Source organism: Homo sapiens, chromosome 4 (genome assembly GCF_000001405.40).
Source record: "Homo sapiens chromosome 4, GRCh38.p14 Primary Assembly".
NCBI classification, from domain to species: domain Eukaryota; kingdom Metazoa; phylum Chordata; class Mammalia; order Primates; family Hominidae; genus Homo; species Homo sapiens.
Genome location: NC_000004.12, coordinates 93,071,133 through 93,086,479, shown reverse-complemented (window position 1 = coordinate 93,086,479; position 15,347 = coordinate 93,071,133). Strand labels below are relative to the sequence as shown.

The 15,347-nt window shown below is 33.8% G+C and overlaps 1 protein-coding gene across 12 annotated transcripts in view; it reads right to left on the bottom strand.

Moving 5' to 3' along the window:
• GRID2 (glutamate ionotropic receptor delta type subunit 2) overlaps nt 1-15,347 on the bottom strand; it is a 1,506,491-nt gene that overhangs the window by 723,977 nt on the left and 767,167 nt on the right. For 11 of the 12 annotated variants that reach the window (NM_001440459.1, XM_024454024.2, NM_001510.4 and 8 more), the window contains one exon: nt 1,201-1,485. The exons of the other annotated variant lie outside the window; for it this stretch is intronic. In NM_001440459.1, coding sequence (NP_001427388.1) covers nt 1,201-1,485 — 285 coding nt within the window. The remainder of the gene's footprint in view (nt 1-1,200; nt 1,486-15,347) is intronic. 12 annotated transcript variants of the gene reach the window in all.

The following is a 15,347-nucleotide window of genomic DNA, read 5'->3' as shown; positions in this document are numbered from 1 at the left end:
CCCTGAGAGTCCACAGGAGCTCTTTCTTATTTGTTGATTCCTAGATTTCTGCCAACTTGTTTGTTCTCAATTCTATTGATGGCACTTTCTGGACGACTCTTGTGTAACTGTTCTCCAATATCGTTCACATTGCTGGGTAGCTTAGGACAAGAAAGCATTTTTTAAGATGTTTATTTACTTATTTGCAAAGAAAAATAAGTTATGCTACAGAGAGTGAAATCCTCTCTGACTTTCTTTTCAGAAAACTGTAAAAACTGAACCCATTCCTACTGAACAGGAAATTTTTCCAAGACTCCTTCTCAAGACATAACCTCTAAGAAAACACATGTTTCAAAATAGGCATTCTTTATCAAGATCTGTTCATTTCCCCTCATTTGATCATACTCATCTCTATTTTATTTCTGCCACAAATAAGAGGGAATCTATAGATTAAGATATTGGGGATCGGTCAGTTAGAAAAAAGGTAGATAAATTCAGAAAAAATAAATGTAAACAAAAATATTATTTTGTTTAGTTGTTAATGAAGTACCAGTAAATATACTGAGACAAAGCATTTTATTCTCAAATTATGATAAATTTAGGGACAATGCTTTGTGTTTTACCTTGGAAGATTAAAGAATTTTTTTTTTACTACTTAGTACTTTTGTGAGACTTCCTACTGTAGACAACATATAATATGAACTGTATGGTGATATAATTTTAGTGACTCCAAGGAGTTAAGTACTGAGTAGGTATTAAAGTCTACACAAGGGTGTAAGCAAGATTTTTCAGATTTCATTTAGCCAAATAATAGAAAGAGGTAAATTTTCAGTGTTCTAGGGTTATCCAATATGATCTTCTGCATTATAGAGAGGTATACATTTTTTTGAAAGGGAAGAAAGACGGTGTTGTTTTTATGACTAAATTCCCATTAGTTGAAAAATCAAGATGTATTGGAATCAGATTCTCTCTAGAAACATTTGTAAACTAAGCATTAAGTAGGTACAGGTATTTATATTTAAAGTTGACTTTATACCAAAATGTTGGACTTAAATACATTAACACAATTTTCAGTTGTTGCTATGTTTATAAGAAAAATATGACAAGACAAGAAAACCACAAATAACAATGAGTAAGACCCTTGAAACTTTTAAGATTTAATGAATTTGCTTCTCATGCAAATATCAGCTTACAAAACCTAAACAAATTATAAACACTTACCGTATTCACTATCATAGAATATAATGAATTTCTGCCAGGCATACTCTGTGACCACTCTTAGGATAACATCATGCAAGTAGACAGGTGGGCGAACTGAGAGAGTGTAGTCATCATTCCTGTTGCTCCGGGTGAGTCCACAGCCACTCCTTGGGGTCCCAGCTGTTGAGCGCTGAATGAAGAGGTGGGGGATATGCATGGCGTCTGCCAAAGACTGGAGGGATCCTGCTGACGTGCAGCCAATGGAGCTGACCAGGGCCAAGATGCCTTGATTCATAAGTTCACAGGCTGCAAGAAAGCACAGTAATATTCAAAATGTCAGTGGGTTTCACATAGTTTTCCCTTTTTGAGAAGCACTGGATGGATAAAGCTTACAGATTTTTTATATAGCTATGAAAATGTTTTAGAAAGGAACATTCGATATGAGGAGATCCTCAAATTACAAAGCACTATTGGTATTCCAAGAATTCTGCTCTTATTATCTATGCGACCTTGTGCAAATCACTTGGCTTCTCTTGGCTCGGTTTCATCATCTGTAAAGAGGGTAAAATAGCATGAATCTCGCAGGATTATTGCAAGGATTAGAGAAAACAGTGTCTGTTATTTGCCTCTCACATGATAGATATTCAATTAGTGGTAGATAAACTTTTGTAATTATCAATTTATAATTCAGAGAAAAGATAATTCCCTACTGAAGGCATAATACAAGGTTTCAAAAAGTAGATAATATGTAAACCGGTGAATAAACAGAAAGATGAAGGTTTGGAGAAAAGCATTTCTGGCCACTGAAAACAGAATGATTCTGATATCTAAAAACTTGATGACATTGCCCCTTTCCATAAACTGGAGAAACAAAAATGTTTTTGTTATTTTCCTTGACAGTAAGAAAGCTTATGGTCAAATCAAATAATTTCAAATACTACATTGTAGCCAGTGTCTCATTCTGGTTCCTAGATCAACAATTTATAATTCCTATTATATGGTTACAATCTATTTTTATTTCACTTTAACTCTTCTATGTGCATACCTCAAAATGTACTTAAAACTAGATCAAATATAAATTATAAGTAAATGTAAAGAAATTGTATACACAGAAAAAAGAGTGAAGAGGTAATGTTTCATAATGGCAAACTTTGAAGATAAAAAATTAAAAATAAGTTCAAAAATCAGTGAAGAAATCAATGAAAAAATTATTTTCATTTTATAACTGGTTCAGCCTTATTTTAGATTTTAGGCATTCTAGGTATAACATTCTTAAGATTCAAAATTTATTATAAATTGTTTTACATAGTTCTTTAAAAACTTAAAGGAAAACTTAATGGTAAGTTCTTGTATATAATTAACTGGCCAGTTAATGAAGGCTGATTTAAAGTGCAAGCTTAAAAGTGCTGTACTAATGATAAGCATATCATCATCAAATAAATTTATTATTATTAATTTATTAATGCTAAGCCAACCAATACATGCAAAATAATGAATAATTATTTGAGACATATTTTTCAAGCATTGCCTCATGAAAGAGATTATACTGATTTCCAATAAATGTGAAAGCATCAAGGATGTATTTTTTTTTTTTTTTTTTTTTTTGAGATGGAGTCTCCCTCTGTTGCCCAGACTGGAGTGCAGTGGTGTGATCTTGGCTCACAGCAACTTCCGCATCCTGGGTTCAAGTGATTCTCCTGCCTCAGCCTCCTGAGTAGGTGGGATTACAGGCCTGTGCCACCAAGCCCAGCTGATTTTTTTGTGTGTTTTTAGTAGAGACGGAGTTTCACCATGTTGGTCAGGCTGGTCTGGAACTCCTGATGTTGTGATCCACCTGCCTCGGCCTCCAAAGTGATGAGATTACAGGTGTGAGCCACCGTGCCTGGCCTGGATGGATGCTTCTTAGACCATAACATTGTGAGGTCTAATTTTAGCAAAAATCATATGTTCTAGTCATGTTCATGAATTCAATTTTCATAGAAAATAATATAAGTGTATACTTATAATTTCAATGAATTAATGCAAAAAGAGTAGTCAAATTTTTATTTCATTATTTTGGTATATATGACCATTAATGATTTATATAAGCAAATAGTAAGTAGTAAGTCACTTTTTAGAAGAGATTTTGGTTTGTAGCATTTAAAATCAAAATAAGAAAGTGCCTTAAGGGGTACACAGTTGGAGTCAATCTTTAGATTACACTAATTACAGGAAATTAAGTAAATATAATATTTTACATACTTCTACCACAAAATTTATACAGTTATAAACATTGAAATTTGGGGAAAAATTTACTTTCAATATTATATTCTGTCACATGTAACATGACAGGAAAATTGTCTGTTTTAGTCTTCAGATTTAGAAGGATATATTCCAAAATGAAAAGTCATATATTAATCTTGCTTAGTAGATACATTTGCTTTAGCATAAAATCTTGTTTCTTCCAACCCACTGTTACTTCCTATTAAACACGAACTAAGCAGATACTAAAACCAGTTAATTTTGTATACAAAAACTTTGTTTTTGGATTACTGTTTGGTATTGCCTATCGTGCTATTCATATTAGCAAGAATAACTGAAATTTTCCTACAAAATCAAAATCGGAATAATCAAAAATTGCAGCCAGAAAGCATATAATGTCAGGCCTAAAAGATAATTTAGAGATCGTGCAGTCCAAGGATGGGAAATTGGCTTTACCTGCTGTGCTTTTGATGACTTGTTGGTAAATTGGCATCCTGGAACACTATTTTGAGAGTTTGAGACTCAATAAGAAAAAGTACCAAAATCATTTTGTCAGGTTTCTCATAGAGAGTGGGAGAGTGGTGGCCTGCAAGTTATAAATGCGCATCCCTCTGAGAGGGCCCAATCCTTTATTGTCAAGAAATCACAAATGCACCCACTTAAAAAACAAAATAGATGACCCAGCTCTCTAACCAATCATCCTTTTCACCACAACAAGCAAACAATGGAGTCTTGTAGTTGTATCCTTAAAATTTTGCATAGCGAAGTAAAGATAAAGCTCTAAATAGGGGAAAGCTCAATTTGAGATTGTTTTATTGTCAAGTTTGTTGAAAGGAGGTAGTCCCACTGAAGAGGAAAGGAAGAGCTCACACAAGTAAAATGAATTGGGACTGGATGACTCAAAACAAAGCCGCAGTTGTGCACATATAAGAACGGGCCTCCACAGCAACCTGCCATTTCCCCTTCAAGGCTGTATTTGATGCCCATTTGGCCCTATTTTACCAAAACAAAATGTCGGTTGAAGCATGGCAGATAGAAATTGATTTGCTTTGGATCTACAGGGCCCTAGATGAAGGTTAGTATAAAAATAGGCTATAACTCATGGCAGCTGAAGGGAGATTTCAGGAAATAAAAGGCTGCAGTAAGAACAGAAGCAAAGCTTAGCAACGCAGACTACCTTTTGCAAGAATTTCATGTCTTGACAATTAAGAGACTATTATTATGAGTTGCAGTTTCATAGAATGCATAGTCAGTTCATTTGATATAGTATGAGAACTGAATTTGAAAGATCAGAACGTGTATTTATCAACTATTTTAAATTAAAATAATCTAAACCTATGACATCTCAATGGCATAGTTCTTTATTATTATTTCAAGCCTTGTGATTTATTTATACTATATATGCACATATACGTAAACATCTATACATACAGATCATATTGAAAAGCTTGCTGGTTTTATGACTCCAGTTGTTTGAGATTCTGTCACTACCAAAGATGTTTGGAGCCTGCACTAACTGCCAAAAGCACAACTATTATTTTTATTATTTTTAATAGCAATTGCAACACTTTTGCCCTTTGTGGTCACTCTGCAGTTATGGAATTTAATTCTGCTCTATAAATGTATCCATTTAAGCTAAGATATATTCATGTACACTAACATTTTCATTTCTTAAGCTAAATATTTTGAGTCTTTGTTTTCTTACTAAGTAAAACAAGATTAAAAATAAAATGCATAAAGAGTTAAAAAATTTATTACCTCTTACTGAAAATGAGAACTCAGTGAAATATTTTTTGGTAGCATCATCCTTTTTGAACATATATCTTCTTTGTGATCTTTTTTTTCTGACTTATTTATATTTACCAATTTGTCCCGATATAACTTCCTCCGGTGATTTTAAGACACATCAGGACTTTAGCACATTACATCATACACTGCTGTGGTTGGAATGTGTCCCCCAAAGTTGAAATATTGAAAACTCGATCCCCAATGTGTTGGTGTTGGGAGGTGGAACCTAATGTGATGTGTTTGGGTCATGGGGGCACTACCTTTCTGAATGAATTAATGCTATTATAGCAAGAGTGGGCTCCTTATCAAAAGACAGGTTTGGCCTCCCCTTGGCTTTCTCTTGCCCTCTCTTTGCCCTTCCTCCATAGGATGACACAGCAAGCAAGAAGACCTTCTCCAGACGCCAGTGTATTGATCTTGACTTCCCAGCCTCTTAAACTGTGAGAAAATAAGTTTCTGTTTATTATAAATTACCCAGTCTCAAGTATTCTGTTATAGCAGCACAGAAGGGATTAAGACATACTTATTCATCAATATAAATAATCAACTTTCAACCACGTCCAAGGAACTTCCCTGGAGATCAGAGAATGTATATGACAGGTTCTATCCTCAAAGTGCTCCCAGTTTGTCCACCATAGTCTTTCCAAAATCTGCCCTGCATCACAATCAAAAGTGGAGATTAAAAATAGAGAGAGAGATGACTAAGTCTACTCCTAGAGTTTCTAGTTTATTCAGTCCAGTGTGGTAGTCATGTATTTGCATTATGAAATGTTACCTGAATAGTTCTGATGTGTAACCCTTTCTGAGAAACAGTAGCCTGGCGGATTGTAACTTCAATGCTCTTTCAAGTAATTGTTGCAGAACATCTAATATTTGTTGACTTTTTATTATTTTTTCAATAATCTTCAGTCATACTCAACAATGACCATAACTGGGCAGTGGAACTTCACTACTTGTGTATTCTTTCTATGATGACTAAATATAATCTAATTACTTTTTTTCTGTTTATTAACAAATCACAAATATACTATTTATGATTGCTTTTTTAATATTCCACCAAAAAGCTCCAGACATTTGCTTTTATACTTCTAGGAATACAGTAACACAAAACAATTTCAGCTTACCCAGACATTTAGAATTCTTTGCAAATATGATTTTTAGCAACCATCTGAGATGTGACATTTAGAAGATGGTCTATATTTGGGACCTCATCAATGTAGTTTGCCAGAAATAAAATCATCTGGAACAAATTCTTCCAAATAAAGCTTGCCTTAATATGTAAATAGTGTTACAAGGTCCAAGTTAATCATAATTATCTACTTAGGAAGTGAAAATACAGAAAAAATATTTTAATTAAAAATTGTTAAGATTTTATTCCTTCTTACAAAATAGAAGTGCTTAAATGGTTGATCACCAGCCATCAAATGAACTCAGTTGAGTAATTTTCAGTCAACTATTTTTTCACTCATCTAAAGCCAACGTGAACCTTTAATTATAATTAGTGATCCAAACCTGAGAAGAATTAAACATTTAACCTGGCACATATTATAAGTCACCTTATTTTTCAATTTATATCTCATAACAACCGTGTGCAGAAAAGCTATTATTATTCCAACTTTCAAGTAAGAAAATTCTGACTCAGTGACATTAAATGCATTGTCCATCATACCACTAGTGAATCTGTAACACTAGTAAATGGCAGAGTTGGGGTTCAAACCTGACTTAGATTAGAATGTCTGGGCCATGAAGAACTACAAAATAAATCATTGTTTTTAAACAGAAAGGCCCATATGAAAAATTAGGAGGGTTTTTAACTCTCCCTTATTACAAAATTCAGAAAAATTCAGCCTCCTAGATATAAAAAAGAAAAAAAGAAAAGAAAGAAGAAGAATCCCTAATAGTATTCTCTTTTAAAAAATTTTTAGTTTGGTATTAAAACATTGATTCTCTATAGTTTTAGCTCCAAATAATTTCAGCTCCATGTGTTTATAAAGGAAAATTTCAACAAGGCTGCAAAATGGTACTGAGAAGAACCTAGAAAGTATTGAGTACACTTTTAATCAGACCTAAAGTGATTCTACCATCATTGATGTAATAAAAATGATAATGATGAAATATTACTTTATTTTTATTTTGTTTGGAGTTTAAAAAATGGTTTCACATACATTTTATCATTTGATCAGCATGGCTAAATTGAATATTTTCCTATTCCCCTTTTCAAAACTAAATTGAGGCTTATGTTTACATTGCTATTAAGTAGTAGAGACAAGGCTGGAACACATATTTTTTGATATTTACTATGTATATTTATATATAATTTATATATTTTCATAAGTTTTATAAAATTTATATATAAAATTTAAAATACAAGACAAAAATTAGTAAATATACAAAATACAATTATATGATATAATTACAAAAATTAGTAAATATACTAAATATAATTATATTTAGTATATATAGTACATAAATATAATTATATTTAGTATATACAGTATATAAATATAATATAATTATATTTAGTATATACAGTATATAAATATAATTATATTTAGTATATACAGTATATAAATATAATTATATTTAGTATATTTACTAAATATACAGATATTTACTAATATAATTATATTTAGCATATTTACTTTATAATTTTTCAATGATAGATTTCATAGCTCCCGATTTAAGGAAATTCAGATCAATCTCCTATCTTTTTATCTTTTTATTTTAGTAACAATTCTTCAAAGAACACATATATATGTGCATATATATACCTGTATATTATATATATAAAATGTATTTCTATATCAGGCAAGTACCAGGTACTCAGGGTGCAAAATGGCCCAAAATAGGCAAGAGTATAATGGGTGAGACAGAAGATATTCATATGAATGTTTAATGACATACTGAGTAGGTTCCAGGCCAAAAGAGAACGTTATTCTATGATAGCCCAAAAACATTTTTCCTCAACTAGAGATTGGGGAAGCCTTTGCTACAGAAGTGACTATAGAGCTGCAATTTGAAGGGTAAGTAGGAACTAATTAAGTGGATGGAGGTTACCTTGACGAAAAAGAGTAAAGAAAATGTTTCCAAAAGAAGAAATAGAATGTGCAAAGATCCTGTGACACAGAGACAATGAAATACCAGAAAGGCAGAAAGAGGAGCCAAGTGGCTGGAGTGCAAAGAGCATGGTAGAGAGTGGTGCAAGGTTAGAATGGCGGGAGAGGCAAGAAATATGACCTATGATGGAGTTTGTCTTTTTGTTATTAATATGAAGGAGACCTTTACATGCCTTAGCACCACTATTTATCCACATTTATTTAACTGCCTTTAGTCTTGTATTTTAAATTTATTTATGAGTTATGTAGCTTTTCAGAAATTTTAAAATTATATACAATGAAATTGTCAGTCTTTTAAGACTGTTTTGCTTAACACTGTGTTTAGAAAGGCCTTTTCCCAATAGCCTGCAAATTTATAAAATTATCAGTTTATCTAAAACAACACCTTATCTGTCCTATACTTAATAACTGATTGGCAGCTGATAGAAGATATAGCAATTGCACTTTAGGAAACTCGGTGAGTGCAGAATGTCATATTTGGTCATTATAGGTAAAATTTAATCTTCACCTACATAATCATAAACATAACAAGCAAAGAGTGAGGATTAAACATAATTGTGGCAAGAATGATAATCAGATCATATTATATGTCTGTCTTTAAAACTTTTTAATCATTTTATAGAAATTCTATTTATTAAAATTATTGTTCCTTATAAAACTTCTTGGATTTGAAACTGATTATTTCTGGATGAATGACAGAATATTTAATATAGTCCAGAAAATTATATCCCATAAAAGTAAGAATAATATCTTGAGAAAGATGTGGGGAACAGTGTGTTTATGTTTGTGTAAGAGAAAGATAGAGAATGACAAAATAATATTTTACATTGCTTTCTCAGTTACTGCTATCTACCTAGAATATCACAACCCAATCTCAGAAGTCATCTTCGATTATTTCTTCACTTTTGTTTCCCATGCTCCTCCATCTCAACTTGGTTATCACATAATGTTAATTTTACTCCTAATGTTTCTCAAAACTATTCTTTTTTGAAATATCTACTGCCAGTTCTTTAATTCAAATGATATCACCACACACTCAATTACCAAAACTGTCTTTAAGCTGGCTTGATTTTACAGCACTTTCTCCAATCATCTATACTGTAAGCAATCATATCTATTTTTGAATCGCATTATGTCATTCCCATGTTTTAAAGGTCATCAATAAAAGACTGAGGGACTGCTACATACTAGAAGAGACTAAGCAGGAATGACAATTTAATGAAATATGGGATCTTAGGCAAAAATCCTGAAACAGATAGAAAAGTCATTAATAAAGAGGTTGGGCCGAAGCAGGTGGATCACTTGAGGTCAGGAGTTCGAGACCAGCCTGACCAACATGGTGATACCCCGTCTCTACTAAAAATACAAAAATTAGCCGGGAATGGTAGCTCCTGCCTGTAATCCCAGCTACTTGGGAGGTTGAGGCAGGAGAATTGCTTGAACCCGGGAGGCTGAGGTTGCAGTGAACCGAGATTGCGCCATTGCACTCCAGCCTGGGTGACAGAGAGAGACTCTGTCATTAAAAAAAAAAAAAAAAAAAAAAAAGAGGTTGGTGAATTTTGAAGAAGGTCTGCGGCTCAGTTAGTAATACTGCATCAATATCCAATGACTATTCTTGATAATTTCACTTTCATTATATAAGATGTTAACATTAGGAAAAGTGTAAAGAATATAAGAGAATTCTTTTTACCATTGTCGCATTTTTCTGAAAATCTAAAACCAATTTAAAATAAAAATTTAAAAACATAAAACTTCCAATGTCATCATACAACTTCTGCAAGTGAAAATCAAACTCTTAGCATGGCATGCAGAATTCTTTATGACCTGACACTGATTTACATTTTCATGCTCATCTCTAGTTCCTATTCCTTGCTATTGTATCTTCCTGCCATTCCACACACTCTCCCACCGCCATGCTATTTTAATTACCTTATTTCTTCAGCAGTCTATGTGCTTATAAAAAGAGATAGTTGCTCACGCCTGTAATCCCAGCACTTTGGGAGGCTGAGGCAGGCTGATCACTAGGTCAGATCGAGACCATCCTGGCTAACACGGTGAAACCCGTCTCTACTAAAAATACAAAAAATTAGCTGGCGTGGTGGCGGGTGCCTGTAGTCCCAGCTACTTGGGAGGCTGAGGCAGGAGAATGGCGTGAACCCAGGAGGCGGAGCTTGCAGTGAGCCGAGATCGCGCCACTGCACTTCAGCCTGGGTGACAGAGCGAGACTCCATCTCAAAAAAAAAAAAAAAAAAAAAAAAAAAAAAAAAAAAAAGAGAGGTAACTTCGACATCCCAATACTTACTGAGTATTCCAATTCATAAGCATTATACATAACTTCATTTATTTAGCTTTTCAAATAATTTATTTAAGCAATATTTTGTAGTATTCAGTGTACATGTCTTGCACCTTTGTCAATTTATTCTTAAGTATTTTATACTTTTATATTCTATTTTAAGTGGTACTTTTATTTTAATTTCCAAATTTCATTGCCAGAAAATATGGAAATACATAAGATTTTGTGTATTAATCTCATATCATGAAACTTTCTTAAACTCACTTCTTCTAGTTTCCTTTTCTGTAGGATTTTCTACAGAGAGAATCATGTCATCTGCAAATAAAGGCAATTTTACTTCTTTCTTTCCAATCTGTATGCCTTTTATTTCTTTTCCATGCCTTATTGCACCAGCTGGTACCACCAGTCCAATTTTGAATAGATGTAGTAATAGCAGCCACCCTTCCCCTTTTCCTGATTTTTAGGGAAAAATATTCAGTTTTTCACAATTGAAAATAATATAACCTGAAGGTTTTTGGACTATGCTCTTTATGAGTTTGAGAAAGTCTCCTTTTATTGCTGAGAACAGAGTTTGCTCAGGAATAGAGCTGTTCAGAGTTATCAGGAATGGATGTTAGATTTTATTGGAAGTTTTTTCTGCATCTATTGAGATAACCATATGGTTTTTCTTTTTTAGTCTGCTAATATGGGCAATTGCATTGATTGATTTCTGAATGTTAAATTATCCTTGCAAGGATAATGCTGGCTTCAGTAAATGGGTTAGAATATAGTCACACATTTTGAATTTTCTGGAAGAGTTTGTGTATAATTAATGTCATTTTTCCTGAAAAGTCTGGTAGAACTCACCAGTGAAACTTTCTGGGCCCGGAGTTTCAGTAGTGAGAGAGTTTATAAAATCAGTCTTAAAAACATATACAGGCATATTCAGGTTATCTGTTTCTTCAGGTGAGCTTTGGTAACGTTTATATTTCAAGGAATTTGCCTTCTTCATCTAAGTTGTCAAATTTACTGAAATAAAGGTGTTTGTAATATTCCCCTGAAATTTGAAGTGATGTCAGCTCTCTTTATACGATACTGATAATTTATATGGTATCTTCTTTGATCCCAACCAGTCTGGCTAAAGGTTTATCACTTTTATTAATTTTCTCAAAGAAACAGCTTTTGGTTTCATTGATTTTTCTTTGTTGCTTCTGTTCTCTATCTCATTGATTTCGGCTCTGATCTTCACAATTTCCTTTATTTTGCTTAATTTCAGTTTAGTTTGATTTTCTTTTTCTGAGGTAGAAGCTGTGATTGTCAATTTTAGACCATTCTTCTTTTCTAAAATAGACATTTAGTCCTATAAATTTCCCTCTATGTACTGCTTTAGTTTACCTTCTTTCTGCTGAATTTCCCCTATTATTCATGTATGTTATATTCACCTTTCCTGCTAACATATTAACCCTAGTTACTTTTATAGTCACTGTGATAATTCTAACATCTAGGATATAGCTCAATCTATTTTTGTTGCTTTACATCTTGACAATGGATTGTTTTTTCTAATGTTTCTTATAATTTTAGACATATTGCTGTAAGAGACTGCAGACTGAGGTAAATAGAATATATTGATACAGACTCTCCTCCTACCAGGCTGTTGGTGTATGGCTGTAGCAATCTAGTCAGGAATTGATATGGATATGTGTCTTGTTGTTGCCCTCACTATGTCCAGTGCACCACAGGCTTTGGATTCCTCTAGCAGCAGGCTGCTATTACTTTGTAGTATTTAGAATAGGGCCTGTGTTGCCAGAGATTTTTCCTCAGTGTTTCTTTTTCTCCCTCAGGTTTTAGTTGTCCCTTCACAGCTGCACCAAGTGGAGGTGCCTCTGTCCTCTGTGAGTCTTGGGTCCTTCCCCTGTGGTAGACATCTGTTGTGTGTTACTTTGCACAAGGTTATCGCGGACCTGGTCCAGCCTCCGTTTCACACAGGTCATGTGCAACTTGGGCCTAAGGGTGTTGTCACTGTTACTGCCCCTCATCTTTGAAACACCACCTTTCATTTGTGATTGGTCTCTGGAGAGTTTCCTGCCTCCCAGAATGTGCCAACCTTGGCTTATATCTGTGAAAGATCCTGGAACCAAGACAGTTTCCTGACCAGCTCCCAGGAGTCTTTACCAGTAGCAATAGGTCTTTGCATGTACCCCATAGATAAGAGGATTTTTCCCCCTTCCCCAAGATCTTAAGGCTTTTACTTTCTAGGGATAAAGGGTGAATAGATGGGAAAAACATAGTCAACCCTTGAACAATGCAGAGTTTAGAAGTGTCAACCCCCACAGTAAAAAATCCACCTATAATTTTTGACTACCCCAAAACTTAACGATCAATAGCCTACTGTTGCCTGGAAGTCCTACTAATAATGTGAACAGATTATTAACACATATTTCATACACTAATATATACTGTATCTTATAATACAGTAAACTAGAGAAAAGAAAATATTATTATGACAATCACAAGGGAACATGCATTTACAGTACTGTACTATATCTTCAATACCATAAGTTTACATTATCTGTTTATAAGATAAATTGTCTGTCTGAAATGCCAGTCAAACTCAGCTGCAGAGCTCAGTCCACGGTACACATCAAGCAATTAAACATTTCTTGTAATGTCATGGCTTCTTTTTTCTGCCTCTTGGAAACACTTCCAGCATCACTAGTCGCACTTTTTATGGGTCCCATGGTATTATCCAAGGTTTGCAGTATTGCACTAAACTTGGTGAAAACTATGCAAGAACTGTGAGAGGTTACTTTTTACTGCATGATACAATTTACTGGAGAGACAAACTGCTCACACTATGTTACTTGCAACATTTGACCTCACCACAGTTGCAACTGGAGTTGGCTGTGAAATTATCACAGTAGTACAATATGTACTACAGTTAATTTTATGCAGTTATAATTTAATGCCACATTTAGACATTTGTTTATATTTCTTTAGACTGGGCATGGTGCCATGTAAGGTCTGTAAGTGTGTGTGTAAGTTTTGATACATTTTAACTTCCCATAATAGATTTGTGTAAATTTTATAGTGGTAAATGATAGACTAGTATCTAGTCATAAAATAGACTAGTATCCAGTTTACCTTATGAATTAATGACCTACCTAACCATTTCTTATTGTTTAAAAATATTTCTAGGCTATACCATTCATATGTGAGTCTTTTTTTTTTTCAAATAGTTGCAAACCTCCAAGAAAATTTCCAATATATTTATTGAAAAAATCCACATAAAAATGGGCCTGCAGAGTTCAAACTCCTATTGCTTAAAGCCCAAGAGTACTATGCCTGGTCCCCTGCAGCCATAGTTCCACTCAGGAGAGCTCTGTTTCATATCCTTCTGATACCAACTTTCTCAAGAGCACTTGCTGGAAGAGTACTTCAATAGCCTGCAAATAAGTACAAACTCCCCTTGTGTCTGCTATTCCAAATAAATACAGTAGTTCACACTTAGCCTTTATGAGTTCATAAAAATTGCAAGTGATTCTTCCTAGCCTGTGTGGAAGACAGTAACCTCTTACTCCTAGATTATCTCTAAGGACAGACTGTTTTGTGTTCTGTCTCTCTTTGAAAGTACTTGTCCCTCTTTGGATGTTGGGTTATTTGGTTACTTTGAGAAAAGTTACAGCTTGAAAAAAATTAGAGTTTAATAGATTTTTGGCTTTTTCTCATTGTGCAGGTGGGAAAAAGTGCTTTGTATCTTTTTACATTCAAAGCAGAGGAGGAAGTTTGCTCCTTGATTATTCCTATAACATACTTAAGTGCTTGTTGCATTGTAATTACCTTTATGTGTCAGTCTTCTGGATTTGACATTGTGTTTTCCAGTGCTTTTTTTTGACATTGTGTTTTCCAGTGCTTATAAACTCAGTCACTGTTTTTAATTACATTTAAACAGACTTCAAGTAGTAGTTTTGATTAGAAAGAGTGCACTGCTTCTGAATAGCTCCATGGATAATTTTTTTTCTTTTATGAATATTTTATATATTGACAGCTTTGTCATTCAGGCACACACACTACATAAAGAAAAATCATAACTCTTCATGAGAACTCTCTTATCATGGCCCATAGGCCCTTTATAAGCTTCTGCCTGGCCATGAATATAACCCAAACTCCTGTTTCCATCAGCCTTTCTCACTCTATTTTGGCTCACTCATTGGTTACCCTGTTTTGTGAATTCACTTTTCCTTCTATTTCTTCTGTGTGGAGTACTCCTCACCTAGATATTCCTTCATCTTATTTCTTCATGCAAATCCTCAGTTCCTGCAGCCCCACTCATTAGCATCCCTGTTATTCTTTATGTCCTGACCTTACTTAATATTTTCCTTAATAGTTATCATCATTTGATTGTATTTTATATATCTATTTCTCTATTTTTACTCTTTCTTCCTCACTAAAATATAAGCTACATAAGAGCAGGAGCTTTATGTGTTTTGCTCAATGCCTTATGCCCTAAACCTAGAACACAGATTGGTCTGTTTTAGGCACCTAATGAACATGTCGTGAATGAATAATTGAGTAAACAGGAAAGGTGTGGTCTAATCATTAGGGCAGACATGGTGTAAAGTAGGTTAGATATACTATACATGTCCTGTTAGCCCTAGTAGCTCATTTTATGTTACTCAGATTTTACTTTTTTTACAGAAATAATCCACTCCTGCTGATAAAGAAGATCCCTAAATGGAGTCAACAATAGTATG